Raw genomic sequence first — 19,086 nt, forward strand, 5'->3', positions numbered from 1 at the left:
CCCTGAGGAGAACCTCCTACTGGCAAAGCCTATGTTTTGTCTCATCTGATCACAAATTACTCTGCCTCCTCTTTTCCAGGAAAGCGTTTCTTTCCCTTGCTGGGGATTAAGAGACCAGCTTGGTGAGCGGGGGGTATTCCTGCCTGCCCTTACCTAGAGAAGGTGTAGTGAAGCCCTTCCAGGCCTGAAGATTTAGACAACTTCTTCCAGGGCCCCCAGTCCTCCCACCCAAGCCCCTCCTCACTCCTGGCCAATCTACAGACTCTTTCAAGACCCAGGTTCATTATGGCGACATAAGCTAGCCCCAGCTCTCCATCTCCGAGCTCCAGCATCCCTTGTCAAGGTAAGAAGTGCCAGTTCTCCCAGTGCAGCCAGTTCTCCCCTCTGGTTGGCCCACAGCCCCCTCTCTTCACTCTCTGTCCTAGTCTAGTCACCTCCCATCCCATGAACTGAAACACATTCTTAGAATTTTGCAATTAGAAAATCACTGATGATGTTGGTGCGTGCTAGGTGTCATTGCAAGCTGGAAGTGTCAACTAGGGGTATACACTTTGAGGAGGGCGTGTCAACTAGGGGTATACACTTTGAGGAAGGCTAGTTGGAGAAAAAAGCAGGAAAGTAGCTAGAGAGGGATGAGTTTTAGGAAGGATGTGGTTTGGTTTGGTTTGCTTTGCTTTGCTTTGCTTTAAATAGGAGAGACTTGAGATTTCCTAGGGAAAAGAAGCTGGTAAGGTGTGAGAAGCTAAAGACACTAAAGAGATGGGATAATGAAGAGACAAATCAGCAGGGGTCAAGGGTACACATGGGAGATTCAGCTCTGGGCAGGAAAGACAGTCCCTTATCTGAAGATGATTCAACCAACAATGACAACACTGATGGCTAGGGCTGGATGGCCACATTGAACACAGCCACGTGGTCCCTGCAGTCATGGAGCTTTTAGTGTAGGAAAGAGGAGATGGATGGCAATGGGCACACTGAGTAGGTGGTGCTGGATTCAGAGGCGTTTCTCTTTGTCCCTGCTGCTGCATTTATGACTGTGTCCTGCGTGAGGACATACTCTTGCCCATCAGGCTACCAGCAACTTTCTGGGGCAGGAGCCTATCCTCTCCTATTCCAGCTCTCTTGGGTAGGTGTGCCAGCACCCACAGGGGCCCAGGATGGGGTAGCTCCTCTTTCGGCTGTCCTTCCCTAACCTACTAAGATTCTACTGGGCCTTCCATGGACCTGTCCTGATTCTCTCACCCCAGAACACAAGAAATACTCACTGTCTACACTGTCTGCTGTTGCGGCTGGGGATCAACCCTGATTTAGATTTGGGTCTTCCTGATGCCTCTACCATTTACTGGCTGTATTACCTTGAACAAGTTCTTTAACCTCCATGAGTCCTAGTTTCTCAGTCTGTGAAATGCGATTGATAACACTGATGAACCTTGCTTAGTTCATGGAGTTGTGGAAAGATTCCAGTGAGGTAGATGTGGAAGCCCAGAAGTGTGTGAAAGGGTGTACATGGCAGGGGATTAAGGTAGGCTTTTGATGATCTCCCTGGCTTAATTTGCAGTTCCTCGGAGGGTACCTCATGTAGCATGGGGCATAGTCACTGGCACTCAGTATAAACCTGTGAAGACTGACCTCTCCCATCCTAAAACACTGTCTCCACCTGGAATTAACTGTTGCCCACCTGAAATTAACTGTTGCCCTCCCTATGCTCCGGTGGCTATTGCAGTACAGGCTTGCTCTGTGAAGGGCTTTCACTGTGAAGAGTGTTTAACTGGATGGGCCCCAGGTGGCCCCAGCAGCCTGCCTTCCCTGCTAGTGAGGCCATGGGCTGGTGCATGCCAGCTCTGTCCACTTGAAGGGGGAAGGGTCCATCGTAGGGAGCCAGTGCAGCTGGCAGGGTTCAGGCCTGTGGGCACCGCTGGGGACAAAGCCACTCTGAATGCCTCTCAATGAGTGCTTGTGTTCTGGGAATGGGGGCGGGGTGACATCCAGCCTCTTTCCCTCTCCGCCCCCGACAGGATGTCCCAGGCTGGACGCGGCAGAGGAGGTCCCCCACAAGTGAAGGTCCAGCCCTGCTCCTCCAGGGTTGGCCCATGTGTCTGGGCATTCGGAGGTGGCACCAGGATCAGGGCTTCTGGAGTCCAGCATAGTGATTGGGCCCAGGCCGGGGGCGGGTCCAGGACACAGCCAGGCTTCCCTGGCCGCAGTGCCCAACTGCCCGCAGTGCCCATGGTGGCTCGGATGGGAGGAACCACCGCGGAGCCGGGGACAGGGGGAGCAGGGCAGTGCTCTGCTGGGTGAGGGGCACCCAGCTCCAGAGGCTAGGTGGGCGTCGCTGGTGGGTGGACTCCTGGGCGCTGCGCGGAGCCGCGCCGGCTGGGTTAGCGCGGGCGGGGCGCTTAGTCCCACCCCCAGAGGAGGCGGAAGAGGAGCCCGAGCCTGGCCGCGGGCTGGGCCCCGCCGCAGCTCCAGCTGGCCGGCTTGGTCCTGCGGTCCCTTCTCTGGGAGGCCCGACCCCGGCCGCGCCCAGCCCCCACCATGCCACCCGCGGGGCTCCGCCGGGCCGCGCCGCTCACCGCAATCGCTCTGTTGGTGCTGGGGGCTCCCCTGGGTAAGGGGATGGGGAGAGATGCGGCAGGAGTGGGATGGGGGCGGAGGAAGGGGAGGGACCGATCCGAGGGGCTTGGGCTCGGGGCTTCTCCGAGACCCTCCGGCTGCCACGGGAGCCTTGGGTGTTGCTGGGTCCTCAAGAAGCGGGAAGAGGGAGCTCCAGGATGCTGGGCCATGGGAGGCTGATCCCGGGGTGCAGGGTCAGCTTCAGGCAGAGGCCTCGGGGGCTCTGGGGCTGAGACCCTCAGGGTGGAGACAAGGGGCAACCCTCAGTGTTCGGGAGCCGTCAGGCTGGGGACCGCCGGGGGAGTGGGGCCGAGCGCGGCTGGGGATGAACTGGCCTGGTGGCCACTGGGCACCCCCAATCCCTGCCCGCAGTGCTGGCCGGCGAGGACTGCCTGTGGTACCTGGACCGGAATGGCTCCTGGCATCCGGGGTTTAACTGCGAGTTCTTCACCTTCTGCTGCGGGACCTGCTACCATCGGTACTGCTGCAGGGACCTGACCTTGCTTATCACCGAGAGGCAGCAGAAGCACTGCCTGGCCTTCAGGTGGGTTCCTGCCTCCTCACCCTCACCACCTCCTCTATCCTTTTCTCCAGAGGCCTCCTCTTCCTCCCTCCCGGACTCCTGCCTCCTCCGTTGTCGACCTCCACATTCTTAGCTGAATAGAGTCACCAGGACTCAAGCCTGGCGGCAGAGCTAGGTGCTTAGGTGCTGGTGCCTGGGAGTTCCAGAAAAGGCATGTTAGTTACCTTCATAGGCTTTGACTGGGCCCGGGGTTTCCAGGTTCTTTCTGGAGCCCTCCCTTTGGTCCTGCCAGGTCATGGGGAGGGAGGGTTCAAGGTTAACACCCGGACGACAGTGTAGCTTTGTGGAAGAAGCTCTGGCACAAAGGCAGGAGACTTGGGTTTGATTCCCAGGTCCACTTCTTACTAGCTGTGTGATCTTGGAGAAGACACTTGCCTTCTATGGGTCATTGCTTGCCAAATTAGTGGTTGTCAAACTTTTTTTTAATATATCATATATAAAATAGATATAGAGACTTCTGATTGAAGCGGGGTTTGGAAAAAATGGCTCTAGATTATTTCTAAGGCTCCTTTCAGTGTTATGCTGTATGTCTAATCATTTAAGTTGTAGATATAAAAGCAATGGTTGGGGGCGCACTGCAAATCCCCGTATGCTTCACACTAGCCAGCCAGGCAGCATAGCCTTCTGGGAAGTGGAGGTCCTCTAAGATCTCCTTCACAGGGACTGGGCAGAGCCCCACAAGGAACCCCAAATCTCAGCATGCCATGGCCCCCCTGCTGGCCAGGAGTTGGAGCCAGCATAATGAGGACTCCGTCCTATGAGTGTTGGAAGGTGAGAGGACCTGTTCTTTGTCTAAAGCCCCAAGACCATAGCAGGCATCGCCTCAGCTGTGATCCTCTTTGTTGCTGTGGTTGCCACCACCATCTGCTGCTTCCTCTGTTCCTGTTGCTACCTGTACCGCCGGCGCCAGCAGCTCCAGAGCCCATTTGAAGGTACACCCAGTACTGGGCAAGAAGGGCCTCAGATGGGCTGGGCTAAGTCCAATAATGGGCAGCAGAGAGTTCATGGATTGGGTAAATTCTGTAGTAGTATGTGCTTCTGTATACACACACCTGCCAGCATGAAAACCCAGAAAAATGCTTGTAAACCCGTGAATATTAGAATGTGCCTGGGATATATGGAACATCAGACTTTGTGTGCATTTCTGTGCATACACATGAAGATTCAAATGTGTACAGGAGTGCAGTCTGTCAACAATAGTGGGTGCAGTGGGTGTATGCATACATATGACTCTTAGTAAGTACACGGGGTCAGGTCTGTAGTGATGAACATTAATTGAGTGTGCTCCAGTGGATGGCAAAATATGTGCCTGAGTGTTGGCATGTGATGCACATATGCCACAACCTGATGGACATGGGGACAGTGATGCCATACGGGAGATCAGTGTGGGAGGGAAGGGCTAGGAGAAGACCCTCTTAGTGGCAGCTCTGCTGGATTACAGGATACCAGCCCTGAGCTGTCCCCTTCTTGCCCAAGTGAGATATTCCCTGGGCTGTGCTCCCTGGTTCATGAGGTCTCTGAAACCTGCTGAGGGGAGCAAACTTGCTCAACACAGATTGACCAGCTGGGGCCACGTGCACAGCTCCCTGCTTAACTCTGCCAAGCAGGGTGTGGGAGGCAAAGATGGCCAGCCTGGAGCTTGCCAGAGGCCAGCACCAGGGTGCTTACCTTGGTTTCCTGGGCAGGAGGAGGAGGCTTCCCATAGGAGATGGGTCTCTGAATGCTGATCCTTCTCCCCCATCTAGGCCAGGAGATTCCAATGACAGGCATCCCAGTGCAGCCAGTATACCCATACCCCCAGGACCCCAAAGCTGGCCCTGCACCCCCACAGCCTGGCTTCATATACCCACCTAGTGGTCCTGCTCCCCAATATCCACTCTACCCAGCTGGGCCCCCAGTCTACAACCCTGCAGGTAAGTAAGCAATCTGGAGCCCCTTGCTGCTGCCTTCCCCCACCCCTTGCCCTGCGACCTCCCCTGTGCCTCTCTCATTCTCAGATTCCCTCTCCCAGACTTCCTCCACCTCTAGCCCGAAACCTCCAGGCCCACTCTTCCCTATGGGTCCTGTCTGCCCCGGGGGCAGGGGTGTTACTTTTCGTCCACCTATGCCACCACTCACCCTCATCCTGTCTCTTTGGCTTTCAGCTCCTCCTCCCTATATGCCACCACAGCCCTCTTACCCGGGAGCCTGAGGAACCAGCCATGTCTCTGCTGCCCCTTCAGTGATGCCAACCTTGGGAGATGCCCTCATCCTGTACCTGCATCTGGTCCTGGGGGTGGCAGGAGTCCTCCAGCCACCAGGCCCCAGACCAAGCCAAGCCCTGGGCCCTACTGGGGACAGAGCCCCAGGGAAGTGGAACAGGAGCTGAACTAGAACTATGAGGGGTTGGGGGGAGGGCTTGGAATTATGGGCTATTTTTACTGGGGGCAAGGGAGGGAGATGACAGCCTGGGTCACAGTGCCTGTTTTCAAATAGTCCCTCTGCTCCCAAGATCCCAGCCAGGAAGGCTGGGGCCCTACTGTTTGTCCCCTCTGGGCTGGGGTGGGGGGAGGGAGGAGGTTCCGTCAGCAGCTGGCAGTAGCCCTCCTCTCTGGCTGCCCCACTGGCCACATCTCTGGCCTGCTAGATTAAAGCTGTAAAGACATAACTCATATCAGTCGCATCATTGGACCCATCCACACCTTCCAGGAACACCGCCTTCAGCTGGGCCCAGACTGTTGCCCACTCCATATTCCAAAAGTAGGGGAGGGCCAGCACCAGCATCGGAGCACAGCACCATCCTCACCCCCATCCACAAGCAGACCAAGGCGGACTGTTCCTGGCTTCCTAAAGGCTTCCTAAAGACAATGAGGTGAATTTTGCCACAGCTCTGAAGAGATGCTCGTTTGCACTACAGATATTCCCTGCTAGGGATCAACAGCTCTACAACAGCTGAGGCACTGCTAACTGTACAAAGGCAGTTCCCATTCAGGTACCCTTAGATTCATTCTGGGCCCCACCACTTTCTGACCTTGGCCATGTCTCCAAAGGTTCCCAAGCCTCAATGTCCTTATCTATAGAATGGAGATAGGACAGGTGCGGTAGCTCATGCCTGTAATCTCAGTACTTTGAGAGGCCAAGGGGGGGGGATCGCCTGAGGTCAGGAGTTCAAGACCAGCCTGGCCAACATGGTGAATCCCTGTCTCTGCTAATATACAAAAAAAAATTAGCCAGGCATTGTGGCAGGCGCCTGTAATCCCAGCTACTCGGGAGGCTAAGGCAGGAGAATCGCTTGAACCCAGGAGGCTGGGGTTACATTGAGCCGAGATTGCGCCACTGTACTCCAGCCTGGGCAACAGAACCAGGATCTGTCTCTAAATAAATAAATAAAAATAAATAAATAAATAAATCAAATGGGGATAATACCCCATGGCTGTCAGGAGGGTGAAATAGTATGTACATGAAACTGTTAGTCCTGTGCTTTCCTTCCTGATTAGAGATCCTAGAACTAGGAGCCAGGTAGAGACACTGGGTGACCCAAGAATCTGGTGCAAGGTGCTTCTGTCAGCTGCTTGGGTTGCCAGTCCCCAGGCCCATGTCTGTGACCCCCACTGAGCCACACAGTGGGGGATATGACCTTTTCTCCCCCTCCTCCCACAAATATTGCCTAGAAGAGCCCCCCTACCTCTGGAGCTGCCTGGCTGTCTTCCCTCTCCTTGTTCCCTGGGGTCATGGTCCTTGTGCTCTCAGGACTTGTCTGGTGACAGATCCAGGGAAGGAAGTTTTATTGTTTTTAACTCAAGTGGGAAAAGTGTCAGCTCAGCTTGGCAAAGCCCCACCAATGAAGAGCCCCTCCCCTCTCCAAGCCCCTTATCCAAGTATCCTCTAAGCCCAGCCCTCCTTTTCTCCCCATCCACAGGTACTCCAGCCCCACTGCAGCCTCAGGCTTTGCTCTCCTGCCCTGCCCGCTCAGACCTCTGGGATCCTGCAGCCCAGCTGGGTTCTGGATATGGCCGTTGTGCTGACCATGCCCCCAGGGCCTTCTGCCACCCACATACTCTTGAGGATTATCTCTTGTCACGCAGCCTGGAAGGCAAGAGCTCCTGGGCCAGGGTTTTGGGGCCAGGGTCAGAAATTCCCCTGGGCAGAGCTCTGCCCCTAGATTCATGGCTTTCCCCTTCCCAGTGAAATCTTCATGGGGCCCACATGTCTGCCCCTGGATCAGACCCAGACAGGGAGGGGCTGCTGATGCTGGTAGAGACAGAGCTGAGGCCACAGGTACAAATCCTCTTTCTCTTTGAGGGTGGGGACAAGAGGTGGGAGCTGGAGCCCTGGAGTGCCTGGCTTCACAATTTAGGAAAGAGGGTCTCCAAGTCATCTGAGGTTTGGAGTGCAGTCTCCTCTCTCCTGAAGCTGGGAGCTGGAAGAGATCTACATATTAAGGTTTTTTAGTTTCTCCGAGAAATGATGTGTAAATGTATGCAAGGTGATGCCAGTCAGAATTAATTATCCTTGAATCAACAACCTGGTGCCAATGAAAAAATGCTTTGTAGTCTGGGATAGGAGGCAGGTTTACCCTAGCCATAGCTGAGACTGGAAGAGTAGAGTTGCCCCATTTCCAGTCAACTAACTCTGCAAAACACTGAAGAGAATTCTAAGAAAAGGAGCAAAACTGTGACAGAGTAGGACTTTCACATGCTCTGAGCAGTGAAGAGGTCTCTCACATATCCTGGAGTTCTTTAAATGGAGGCAATCACCCCTACGTCTCTTCCCAAACCACTGCAGTCTCCTCTGACCCCACCTCATCTGACTCATCATCTGGGAAACAAGGGGAGCCCAGCAGGGCCAGGGGAGTACAAAGCTGTAGTTGCCCCTCCGGATCGCCTTGTTCCTCAGCTAGCACCCCTGAAAGCCAATCAGGCACTCTATAAGGGCAGGCAGGAGTGAGGGTGGGAGGGGCAGTGTCCCTCAAGGATTGGGGGACCTCAATAGTGTCAATAGGGTCCTGCTAGGCTGGGAGGGAATGGTGAATCCCCCAAAGGGCGGTCTGGAAGGCACATGTGGAGAAGAGGGGCATTTTTAGACAAAAGCAAGAGGAGTGCATTCTTAGGGCAGGAATCTTGCCAGGCTGGGCCTGCTCAAGGGAAAGCGGATCTCACAGGTGGATGGGAGGGGTCAGGTGCAGGGGAAGGAGCTAGGGCAGGGACACATGGAAATACAATGGGCAGGGGGAGAAAGGTTGGCAAGAAAGGAGAGACACCTTGGGTGAGGGGAGAAGGGGAGCCCCCCACAAGAGGTGAACAGAAGGGAGGTACTTCAGGCAAAGAGTAAAGGAGGGAGGGGCAAGTAAGGGAAGGGCCCTAGAGGGCTGGAGGAAGGAGGGAGGGAGGGAGGGGTAGGAGGGGCATAGACAGGATGAGTGGGAGGTGCTGGGGGAAGGGTGCTGAGGGGGGCCACACTCTCTTGGCCACTCTTAGGCCAGCAGCCTAGCCCAGCACCACAGCAACACAGGCCCTAGTTAGGCCAAACTCAGAGGTCAGGAGCCCCAGCCTGGCCATGCAGGGTGAAGGGTAGGGGGCAGCACATGGCACTCCCGACTTGGTGGTCCAGAAGCTCATGGGTGACCTGCATCCAGATCTCATGTTTCTTAAAGAGTGCCACATGTGTGACACAGTGCCCAGGCCTAGAGCCCCTTGCTCACCTGCAGGTTGAGCTTCTGTAAGGACAAGTGAGGCCAGCGCCTTGGCAGCTGCTGGTGCCTGCCATCCCACCCACAGCCAGCACCAGGGCCTAGGTCCCAGTGCTGGGAAGGTGGAGGGAAAGACGCTTTTCCCATCTGGATAGGACCAGGAGGCAAGAAGCTTGGGGTGCAACGGCTGGGCCCTGCGGGCCGGGAGAGCTGAGAGGTGAAGCCTCCCTTCCTTGCAGGTAGGAGCTAGGGAATGTGATTCTCCAGGAAGTGATGGAGGGTGGGGGGGCAGAGTGGAGGATATGACAGTGGGGGCTGCAGGCAGAGACCGTGGAGGTCAGACCGTGGCTTCATCCAGGTTGCTAGATGAACCCAGAGATAAGAGACTTGGGTTCAAATCCTGATTCATCAACTTCGACAAGTCATTTTCTATCTTCGAACCTCTTTTTTTGTCCTTGTACAGTACAGGCACCAGACAAGGATAGAGCCTTTCTGGATTTCCCTCTCTAAGTTTTAGGAAAGGAAGCAGGATAGATGGGTGACTGCCAGTGTTGGTGGGGCAGGTGGGCAGCAGTGGGTGCGTGGCGCAGCAGAAACACAGCCTCCAGAGTTTGGGCCCCTTTTCCGAAGCTCACCAGGCTATCTGCCCATCTTTTCCTCCCCCTCCCTCTAACTGCCTCCCTCCCCTGGTCCCTAGCACAGCTCCAGGGCACCCCTGGAGCAGCTGGAGAATCTGGGTTGCGGTCCACCCCCAGGTGGCGCTGTGCTCCCGCACCAGGTTCAAGTGCACTAGAGGAGTGATGACATCATCCAGGACGGAAACAGCATCCCCACCGCGGGAGCACCGAGGAAGAGGGCAGCTCACTTGTTGCTCAGGACAGTAGGGAGTGGTTTTTCTCTCTGGCTAAATCATGTTTGAAGTTTGGTAGAAAGGGCTTCCTAAGGTGACAGGTTCTATTGGACCCTTAAGATTTGGAGGCAGGTTGTTTGGGTTCAGGTGAGCGTCCAGTGCTTTCCTGCAGCACCGTCACAGCCTTATTTCAGTGAGGGAAGGAAGGGGAGCTGTTAATGAGAAGCAGTTCTATGGCCTGAAGACCTGGGCTCAAAACAAAACCAACAAACAAAACAGACCTGAGCTCTGACTTTTATTAGCTGTGTGATCATGGATATATTAGTTAACCTCTCTGGGCCAAATTCTATCTGCAAAATAGAATATTGGTATCCACCTCACAGAGTTGAAGGATCAGCTGAAGCAACCTAAAGCATCTAGCTAGTGCCCAGTGCCCAGCAGGCACAGGGGGGTGCAGTGGGACTGACAGTGAGGGCTGACAGTGGAAGCTCTAGCTGGCCTTAGCTCCAGCTCATACCCTTTAGGTCCAGGAGCCAGTGTGTGTCTGTCTCCTCTCCTCTGGGCCCAGTGATTGCTTAGGTGACTGGGGTGACAGGCAAGTGGGTGGAGGGAATGGAGAAGAGTGTACCCTGGGATCTGAGGGCTTTACCCCCAGGACTAGACTGCCCTCTGGTTTTGGTCAGACCTAGCACAGCGATCTTGCTTCCTAGCTGGGGCACCCCACCCTCACCTCAAAGATGGTGAAACTGCTGTGCCTCCTGCTGTTGAGGCAACCTGGAGGCAGAGAAACCTACAAGTGACACAGACCCAAGGTGGCAGTTCCACAGTGCCAAGGGGTGGCAGCACCTTCAAGAGAATGAAATTCAGAAAGATGCCTTTCACCTACACCCGATGGTGGGCATGGCAGCATTGTCAGCATTCCTGCAGTTGGGGCAGGAAGTGGAATTGGTGAGCAGGTGGGGAGGGCTGGGGAAGATGAGGCCCCTCTGAGCCCTAGGGCACACAGATATGGGTGCTATTCTCCAAATAGTCACTCCACTTCTCTGCCTGCCGCCTTCCTGGGCCTGTGACTGCTGTGAGGACCTGGCCCTGAGCCCATGGTTAGGCAGAGTCATGGAATGAGCATCCCTGAACATGCCTAATATAGCCATCCCAGCACCCTGGGCTCCACTCTGCCCCAGCACCCCTGAGAACAACTCTGGCTACTGACTCCAGGCAGCAGGACTGGTTCAGGAGCAGACCTAGTAGAGGCCTGGCCTTCTAGACCTGGACAACCAGGTCAGTGGAGAGTCTTCTGCTTAGAGTTCAGATTTTCCTCCATGCTGCACTTTCTGAGGATGTGAATTTATTTCTTGGCCAACTCAAATAGTGTGGCAGGGAACCTGAGCTTCTAGAGTCCTCCAGGGAGCCCAGGGTTAGGATCAGGACTCACAGTTCAGGACAACAGGTGGGGCACAGCCATTCACAGCTAAAGGTTTGTATATATTATCAAAATCTTATGGAAAAACAGATACACAGCTATTCATACAGCAGCAGGTGGGTGTGAGGAAAATGTCTGCTTTGGCATCAAACCTTCAAGTCCAGCTGCTGTCTGTCCCACTCCTCCTGTCTGGAGCCTACTCCCATCAGGCACTGTGCATCCAGGCCACTGCCCCTGCCACATCCTCTAATTAGCCTGGACTTTGGGGTATCCTCAGCCCCTCCCCACGCTCCCCTTTGGGCCCCCATGCCTCTCCATCTTTCTGCCATTTTCCCACACAGAGTGCCACTGGCCCAGCAGCTTTGCCCCGTGGGCTCCTCAGAGGCCTGAATCCTGGCCCTGGAGGGCAGTGGGGCTGGGGTGGATGTGGTCCCTGTGGGACATCTTTCCTGGATCACAGGCCTTTTGCAGCTTGCCAGCTACATGGGCCCTGGACAGTGCCATCTTCTCAGTGATGTGCTAAAAGGACTCTTCTTGTCCAGAAACCTGAGCTCCATGTACTAAAGCAAAATTTGGAGAGCCTCAGAGACAAGAAAAGGAAAGTGAGAAGAGATAAGGCATCCTTCCTTGAGCGTGACCCAGGCCTGGACTCTCCCATGGCAGAATAGGGACATCCACAGCAGGTCAGCCAGGGATGGGGTGGGCAGGGTCTGTGTAGCCCTGGGAGGTGAGGCCTGAGCAGTCATGGCATTGGCAGATGGTGCCTGGCAGCCTGGTCCTACTGAAGCAGTTTGGGCACTTCCACCTGTAGGGGCAAAGTAGAGACAGGTTAGAGAAGGGAGCTCAGCCACCTCACCTCCCTCCCTACTGGAAGGACACACAAGACACTGCAATATGTTATGTCTGTGGAATGTGAATGAGGTGTTGACACTGAGGGAGCATTTTTCATTGTCTGTAAAAATTGGATGTCATTGAGTGACCACTGGAATTACAATTGAGATTTTCCTTTATCTCATGATACCTTGTCCCAGATGATGTTGTGGGGGTTGGGTATCCAACCAAATGGACAAACGATCGTGGACTTTGTCACCCAGGCCAGACTTCCAGGGGAGGCAGGGCTTGGAGAAGTAGGGTGTCCAGGGATGGCTCCTGTGTCCATGGCACTGGCTAGGCAAAGGTAGACTCTCCTGAGAGGTGAATCTCCCAGAGACCTTTCGGATGGACTGACCTGTAGGACTTGGCTGGTCCTGAGAGGAGGCTAAGTAAAACGTGGATCATTTTTGTTTGGGGAAATGGAGAAGACTTAAAGGAAGGACCCGAGGCAAAACTACTCTGTAGAGGCCATTTCTCCATTTTAAGGAGAAACAGGCTTCATTGCAGAATGAAAGAGAAGCATGGAGTGAGGTATTAAAGGAAGCTCCTTAAAGGAAGGGTAGAGTCTCAGCTCTAGGGGATATACAGGTGTGACCTGCCTGCAGGCAGGAGGATGCATGAGATGACCTGAAGTCCCCTATGGGCCCTGGGAGTCTATATCATCTGCAGCCGACATAAGCTCCTCTGCATGCCTTCCCTTTTGCAGTCCTACCCTCTCCTCCAGGCCCTACCCAGCCCCGCCCTGTTGGCTCATGCCCACAACTACTTAACTTCTTGAGCTGCTTGAGGTTGCTGGAGCGGATGGCAGCCAATAGCTGGTCACGGGAGTTCTTCTCCTGGGCAGGGAGGACTTTGTCTCCCATCTTCCTCTGGGTAGCTGGTGAGAGTGAATTCTTCAGGTTCTCCATGATAAGGGGTGGAGCCAAGGGAGGGGGAGGGGGTGGTGGGGCAGCTGGAGCACCCCCTTTTTTGGGTGAGTTCTTTGGAGAGGGCTTTGGAGATGGTTGAGGTGAAGGTTTTGGGGAGCCCTTAGCCACGGCCCCGGCCTTGGGTACCTCCAGCAGATCCTTCTTCTCTCCCTTGGCTTCCTGTGCCTGCCTTTGCTCCTGCAGCCGCTTTTGTCTCTGCTTGTCCATGTTGCGGCTGAGCAGATTGGTGACAGTCATTCGGGGCCCGGCCAGCTCAAAATGGTAGCCCAGCTTGAGCAGGGTAGTATTCTCCTTCAGCAGCTTGGCGATCTCCATCTCCGTCTTGCCTCCACAGATGTGTCGCTGGTTGTGGAAGCGGAGCTCGGTCAGCGTGTTGTTCTGGAGGAGGGCCCGGAAGATGGCCAGGATGCCTTTGCCTGTGATGTGGTTGGAGTCCAGGTTGAGGCTGGTGATGGTCTTGTTGGCCTTGAGCATGATGGCAATGGCAAAGGCCACGTGGTCATCGGCTCGCGTGTTGGCCAAGGCGAACAGCTTAACCACAGTGTTGAACTCCAGAGCCTCAGTAAACCGGACCAAGATCTCATTTGTGATGCAGTCTGAGTTGTTGACGTTCACCTCAGTCATCTCGGGGTCATTGTTCTTCACTCTCTCCAGAGGCTCATCAAATATGCTGGGAGCTGCCTCCTCCTCCACCTTGGCCGGTCCTTCAGAGGGCTTGGTGGGGCCACTGGGCGTCTGTTTCTCGGGTGTTTTGGTCTTGCTGTCATCCTTGGCTTCCTTTTCATGTAAGGGTTCATTCTTCTTGACTTTTTCATCGTCCTTTTTGGTGTCTGTGTTCCCAGTTCCTCTTTTTACCTTCTCATCCTCCTTTTTCATGTCTGTGTTCCCACCTGCTCTTTTCATCTTCTCACCCTCTTTTCTGGTGTCTGTGTTCCTACGCTCCCCTTTTACCTTCTCATCATCCTCTTTCTTGGCCACCTCCTTCATCTCCTCTCTCTTTTTATCCTTGTCCCTGCTCAAGCCTGTGTTCCTGTCACTCCCTTTCTTCTCCTCTTCCTTCTTGGTGGCCACTGCCCTCTCCTCTCCTCTCCCATCCTTCCCTGCCTCCTTCTTATCCACTGCAGCCCTGACCCGGCCCTTGTCAATGCCCCGGATGATCTTCTCCTCCTTGGGCTTCTCGCCACTCTTGCCACCAGCTTCATCTCTGTCTCTAGAGAAGCTTTTCTTTAAACCACCCCTCTTTGGCTCCTTCCCCAGATCTGAGTCCCGTCTGGGGCCCAGGGCTTTTTTGCTGGCATCTCTGCCCCTTTCCTCTCCATTCTTGGCATCTGTCTTGGTCTCCACTTGCTTGCTTTCCTAAGAATTCAGAAAAGAAAAATAATCATGAAAAGCTGGCTACAGAGGGAGAGGAATGAGTATGGGGATGTGTGGGGGAGCGCTTACATAACTGCCCTTGAGCCTCTGAAGGACAGTTGTGCTGTTTGGGAGAGTGGGGTGGATGTCTCCATTGAGGGCAGCAAAAGAGGGACTCAGGTTTAAGCTGCAGAAATGGGATGACATCAGACTCAAGGCCTCAGGGTTGTGAGACAACCAAACAAATACCTGCAAAGGTTGTGGCAGTTCCTTTTATGGAGTATTCTCAGACCCAGAATTGCCCTTTCCTATCATGGGTGATTTAGAAGGACTGCTTCCAAGCAATGCCCTGCCAAGCACATTGGAACCTGAGGCAAAAGGAGAAATACTAACACTGATCCTGTCTTTAAAATTTTGCATTGGTGTTTATTGTGGACTTTTTGCATTCGTTTTATTTTTAAAAATATACATGAAGTCCGGGCGCGGTGGCTCATGCCTGTAATCCCAACACTTTGGGAGGCTGAGGCAGGTGGATCACCTGAGGTCGGGAGTTTGAGACCAGCCTGGCCAACATGGAGAAACCTGTGTCTACTAAAATACAAAATTAGCCAGGCATGGTGGTGCATGCCTGTAATCCCAGCTACTCGGGAGGCAGAGGCAGGAGAATCACCTGAACCTGGGAGGTGGAGGTTGTGGTGAGCCAAGACTGCACCATTGCACTCCAGCCTAAGCAACAAGAGCGAAACTCTGTCTCAAAAAAAAAATATATATATATATATATGTATATATATATATATATATATACATATATATATGTATATATATATATATATATACATATATATATGTATATATATATATACACATATATATGTGTGTGTGTATATATATATATATATACATATATATGTGTATATATATATATACACATATATATATGTGTATATATATATATATGTGAAAACATCAGTTATCTTGCTCACTGAGTTTTTGGCATCCGCTTATATTCTGTGCCCAAGGTGAGTGCCTCACATCCCTTCACCTTAGTCCTGGCCCCTGCTTTTAAGGAGTAGGCCAATAGTTCTGAGATACAGAAATTTTATAAGGCAATACATTTCCAAAGGAAAAAAAGGTAGAGGGATCAACATATGCTAACATTTTATTTTACCAATTAAGGATATTTGTAAATTATTATCATTATTATTGTTATTATTATTATTTTTTTTTTTTAGAGATGGGGGTCTTGTTATGTTGCCCAGGCTGGACTCAAAATCCTATCCTCAAGCAGTCCTCCCACCTCAGCCTCCCAAAGTGCTGAGATCACAGGTGTGAGCTGCCATGCCCATCCGATATTTTAAAATTCTATCTACCATCATCATCTCATTAAAATAAGAAGGAGCTAATTTTAAAGAAGGTAGGCATAACAGAGTAAAGAATATACCTTAACAGCAAATATGTGTATTTTTTTAAATTCACAGTATTGTCCTTATTTTTAGTAAAAACTTAGCTAAGGACAAGCATCTCTCTGTGGAGAGCCCTGGAATTCATTGGGTCAGCTGATCTCTGGAAGACTCTGCCAGATTCTAGATCTTGGATTCTATGACTCAATTTTGACCCCCGAGACACTGAGAAGTTTGTGAGAGAGGCCATGGGACCAAGTCAGTTGAGCTGTGATGGGGGCTTGAGGTTTTTTTTGGTTTGTTTGTTTGTTTGTTTTTGACAGAATCTTGCTCTGTCACCCAGGGTGGAGTGTGATGGCGCAATCTTGACTCATGGCAACCTCTGCCTCCCGGGTTCAAGTGATTCTCCTGCCTCAGCCTCCTGAGTAGCTGGGATTACAGGTGCACACTACCATGCCCAGCTAATTTTTGTATTTTTAGTAGAGACAGGGTTTCACCATGTTGGTCAGGCTGGTCTCGAACTCCTGACCTCATGATCCACCCACCTCGGCCTCCCAAAGTGCTGGGATTACAGGCGTGAGCCGCCGCGCCAGGCTGGGGGCTTGAGTTTTATACACAGCATAAGCCACCCACACCTCCATGGATCCCTGTTTCTTCCTCCGTAAGGTTGCACCGAGCCTGAGCCCTGTTTTGAGAGCACTTGCTTCTCGTCTTCATCAGAGAAGCAGAGGAAGTGGCAGAGTTAGACATTAGACATAGAGTAGACATTAGACTTAACTGTCCAACTGTGACCCCAGAGCAACTGGGACTTAAAGGGAGGCTGTGATGTCCTCCCCTAAAGGTTTTTCAAGAGGAAGAGACTATGGTTTGAATATTTAAAAAGTTTTCTTTCAAGAGTGCCAGGTTGGGGTGTGGGGAGAGGGCAGGGAAGAAAGGAAAGCAGCTCTCTGTCGCACTCTCGGGCCCAAGTAGCATTTCTTCAACCTCCGCTCTTCGCCGAGGGAATGGAAAGAAAAGTGAGTCCTATGGAAACGGTTTGTACCTGCACCACAAACACATGCCATTGGGGACCAGCCCCTGGGTTTTTTTAGCAGCGAGAGTCCTTGGCTCCTCTGCTAGAATCACAATAAGCAGCCAAGGGGCACAGGGCCTAGTGAGACAGGGCCTTGGAATGTATCTGTTCTAGCCTCCTGCCCTGCAGGCCCCAAGGTCCAGCTGCACTGGAGGCCCCACTGGGGCTATGGTGATGGAGCAAGGGGCAGAGAGCTCCCCCTCCCACTCACTCAGGCCCCCAGGGAACTGGGTTTGACCCTCAGATCAACTGGGTTTGACCCTGGAGCAGAAGTGATGGTGACCTTACTGAACCTTGATTTGAAAGGGACAGAAGGAGAGGAGTATGCAAATAGAATGGAAACAAGGAAACCCAATGGATCAGCCCTTTTAGGATCTGCCCATAGTTTGACCAGGAAATTCCCTCTCCTATTCCCTGATCCCATCAAGTTGAGAGCAGTTCCATCACTGATTCTGTCCACTTTTGGAGCTTGGAGGTGAGAGCTGGAGGGACCAGCCTCTCTAGGCCCATGGTCTAGAGATTAGGCCTCCAGGGCAAAGACTCCTGCCCTCCCCTCTTCCTTCCTTTCCCAAAATGTGCACATTTCAGGAGTTCTCAGAGCCCACTGTGCACTGCATAGCTTCCCTTTCCAGAGTTCCCACGCCACTTGTAGGCTTCACTCAGAGAGAAACTGGGGATCCAGAGAGATGATGAGTTAACTGACTTCACCTAGCAAGTTCGGGAAAAGCTGGATTTCAGACCTGACTGTCTCACTAACAGCCACCAAGTCAATGTAACCATCTCTAACCTTCCCCATCAGGGGCCAAAGCAGCTCCTCTCGGCCCACCCAGCATCCCTGGAGTACTCAAGTGCCCAGCTGCCCACAGAGCCTCACCCACCAGCCTCCTCTTTTCACGCAGCCCCCTTCAGAGCTAGGACTCCCATTCAGACCCTTCCCTCTCACCCCTAGCCAGGACTCAATTTAACCTTCTTTCTTTCTTTCCTTTTCTTTTCTTCTTTTTTTCTTTGAGATGGAATTTCACTGTTGTTGCCCAGGCTGGAGTGCAATGCCGCAATCTCGGCTCACTGCAACCTCTGCCTTCTGAGTTCAAGCGATTCTCCTGCCTCAGCCTCCCAAGTAGCTGGGATTACAGGCATGTGCCACCATGCCTAGCTAATTTTGTATTTTTGGTAGAGACGGGGTTTCTCCATGTTGGTCAGGCTGGTCCCGAACTCCTGACCTCAGGTGATCCACCTGCCTCGGCCTCCCAAAGTGCTGTGATTACAGGCGTGAGCCACCACGCCCAGCCTCAATTTAACCTTCTTTCTTCCCTGACACCGCACATCCTGACTTCTCCCCTTTATCCTAATCCAGGACTACTCCCCACTCCTTCCTAGTTACCTCCCCTACCCTGGGGTCCTAGTTGGCAAGGATCTGCCAAGTGTCTGTTCTTGAGGAGGTGTGCCAACACTTTAAAAAGAACCTAATGAAAAACAGGCTGGGGGTGGGAGGGAAAGGGTTGATTAATCATCAGTTTCCTCCAAATAGCCAGGAATGAGAGGGGCTGGAGCTTGTTGCCGCTTGTGTAGCCCTGAGCACTCAAACGTTGCCTTAAAAGGAGAAGGAGCCCAGAGTCCTCCCAGGGCTGGGATTTCTGTTGAGCTGAGCTCCTCGGAGCCGGCACATAGCAGAGCTGCTTCCTTCGTGCTAATCTGAAAGGGAGGCTAGGAAAACTTCTTCTTGCTTCCAGAATTGATGGTACATCCCGGTGACCTCCAGAGGTTATTTTTGCCTGTGTTTCTGTCGCTAGACCTTACTCAACTGTCTATCCCTTATAGCAGGAGGAATTTAGGTTAGATATAACAAAGAACTTCCATGCAGTAAAGGTCCACAGGCCTCTTGATGAGAAAACTAGGTAGCAACAGTTATTTTTTCCCTTTGCGAAAAGCATTAGGGTTAGGGGAAGCCCGCAGGGGTGGTTTGGGAGTCCCTGGTTGGAGGCAGGGGAATGGAAAGGATGACCTCTGAAAGCCGGTACTGACCTGTGACACATTGAGGTACCTAGTGATTGGGCTCAGAGTAAGAAACGGCTCCTTGCCCCCATCTCCTCCAGGCCTTATGGCTACATGATGTTGCTCTGTGTCTGCCACGTGCGTTAGGATCCAAGTTTAATGCCTTTGATAGGTTCAGATGGGCAGAGCACAGCATTTTCTCCCTTACCTTGGCCCTTCTGATGCTGCTTTCTTTAGAAGTCTTATCTGATTAAACAGAGGAGAGAACATTTCACCACCTCCATTGGCAAAAGATGAGAGGAAAAGGATTATTTGTCTATCCAGAAAGTTTAA

At 52.8% G+C, this 19,086-nt stretch overlaps 2 protein-coding genes across 3 annotated transcripts in view, besides 4 other annotated features; one reads left to right on the forward strand and one right to left on the reverse strand.

The window, feature by feature from the left end:
* Positions 1,932-2,441: an enhancer, noted in NCBI's record as "H3K4me1 hESC enhancer chr1:201857519-201858028 (GRCh37/hg19 assembly coordinates)". NCBI's record gives its function as "activates a minimal SCP1, AML or CMV promoter by ChIP-STARR-seq in primed H9 embryonic stem cells {active_cell/tissue: H9 hESC(primed)}" and the evidence as "EXISTENCE:reporter gene assay evidence [ECO:0000049][PMID:30033119]".
* Positions 1,932-2,576: a biological region, named in NCBI's record as "Sharpr-MPRA regulatory region 2190".
* Positions 2,218-6,128, forward strand: SHISA4 (shisa family member 4). 2 transcript variants are annotated; one of them, NR_030775.2, is made up of 5 exons: positions 2,218-2,322; positions 2,986-3,157; positions 3,995-4,128; positions 4,942-5,109; positions 5,341-6,128. NR_030775.2 is itself a non-coding variant. In NM_198149.3 (5 exons), exons 1-5 carry the CDS (start codon positions 2,536-2,538, stop codon positions 5,385-5,387), a joined length of 594 nt encoding a protein of 197 aa, NP_937792.2. In that variant the 5' UTR covers positions 2,439-2,535; the 3' UTR covers positions 5,388-6,128. The 2 variants fall into 2 exon arrangements, 1 of the variants encoding a protein (NP_937792.2); NM_198149.3 differs by lacking the exon at positions 2,218-2,322 and adding an exon at positions 2,439-2,608.
* Positions 2,282-2,576: an enhancer, noted in NCBI's record as "tiled region #2190; K562 Activating non-DNase unmatched - State 4:PromP". NCBI's record gives its function as "activates a minimal TATA promoter and a strong SV40 promoter by Sharpr-MPRA in K562 cells {active_cell/tissue: K562}" and the evidence as "EXISTENCE:reporter gene assay evidence [ECO:0000049][PMID:27701403]".
* Positions 9,683-9,752: an enhancer, noted in NCBI's record as "active region_2324". NCBI's record gives its function as "activates an Ori minimal core promoter by ATAC-STARR-seq in GM12878 lymphoblastoid cells {active_cell/tissue: GM12878}" and the evidence as "EXISTENCE:reporter gene assay evidence [ECO:0000049][PMID:35858748]".
* The window catches only part of LMOD1 (leiomodin 1), a 50,093-nt gene continuing 41,003 nt past the window's right edge, over positions 9,997-19,086 (reverse strand). The window contains exons 2-3 of the mRNA NM_012134.3: positions 12,778-14,292; positions 9,997-11,939 (exon numbers count right to left, since the gene is read on the reverse strand). Of these exons, the coding sequence (NP_036266.2) occupies positions 11,913-11,939; positions 12,778-14,292 (1,542 nt within the window). The 3' untranslated portion in view covers positions 9,997-11,912. The remainder of the gene's footprint in view (positions 11,940-12,777; positions 14,293-19,086) is intronic.

Source organism: Homo sapiens, chromosome 1 (genome assembly GCF_000001405.40).
Source record: "Homo sapiens chromosome 1, GRCh38.p14 Primary Assembly".
Taxonomy (NCBI): domain Eukaryota; kingdom Metazoa; phylum Chordata; class Mammalia; order Primates; family Hominidae; genus Homo; species Homo sapiens.

Excerpts from the sequence above, each read along its gene's own strand:
- SHISA4 (NM_198149.3), top strand. The coding sequence starts at position 2,536 with ATGCCACCCGCGGGGCTCCGCCGGGCCGCGCCGCTCACCGCAATCGCT. Across the intron at positions 4,129-4,941 it reads GCTCCAGAGCCCATTTGAAG|GCCAGGAGATTCCAATGACA; the intron begins GTACACCCAGTA and ends TCCCCCATCTAG. Across the intron at positions 5,110-5,340 it reads CCCAGTCTACAACCCTGCAG|CTCCTCCTCCCTATATGCCA; the intron begins GTAAGTAAGCAA and ends TTTGGCTTTCAG.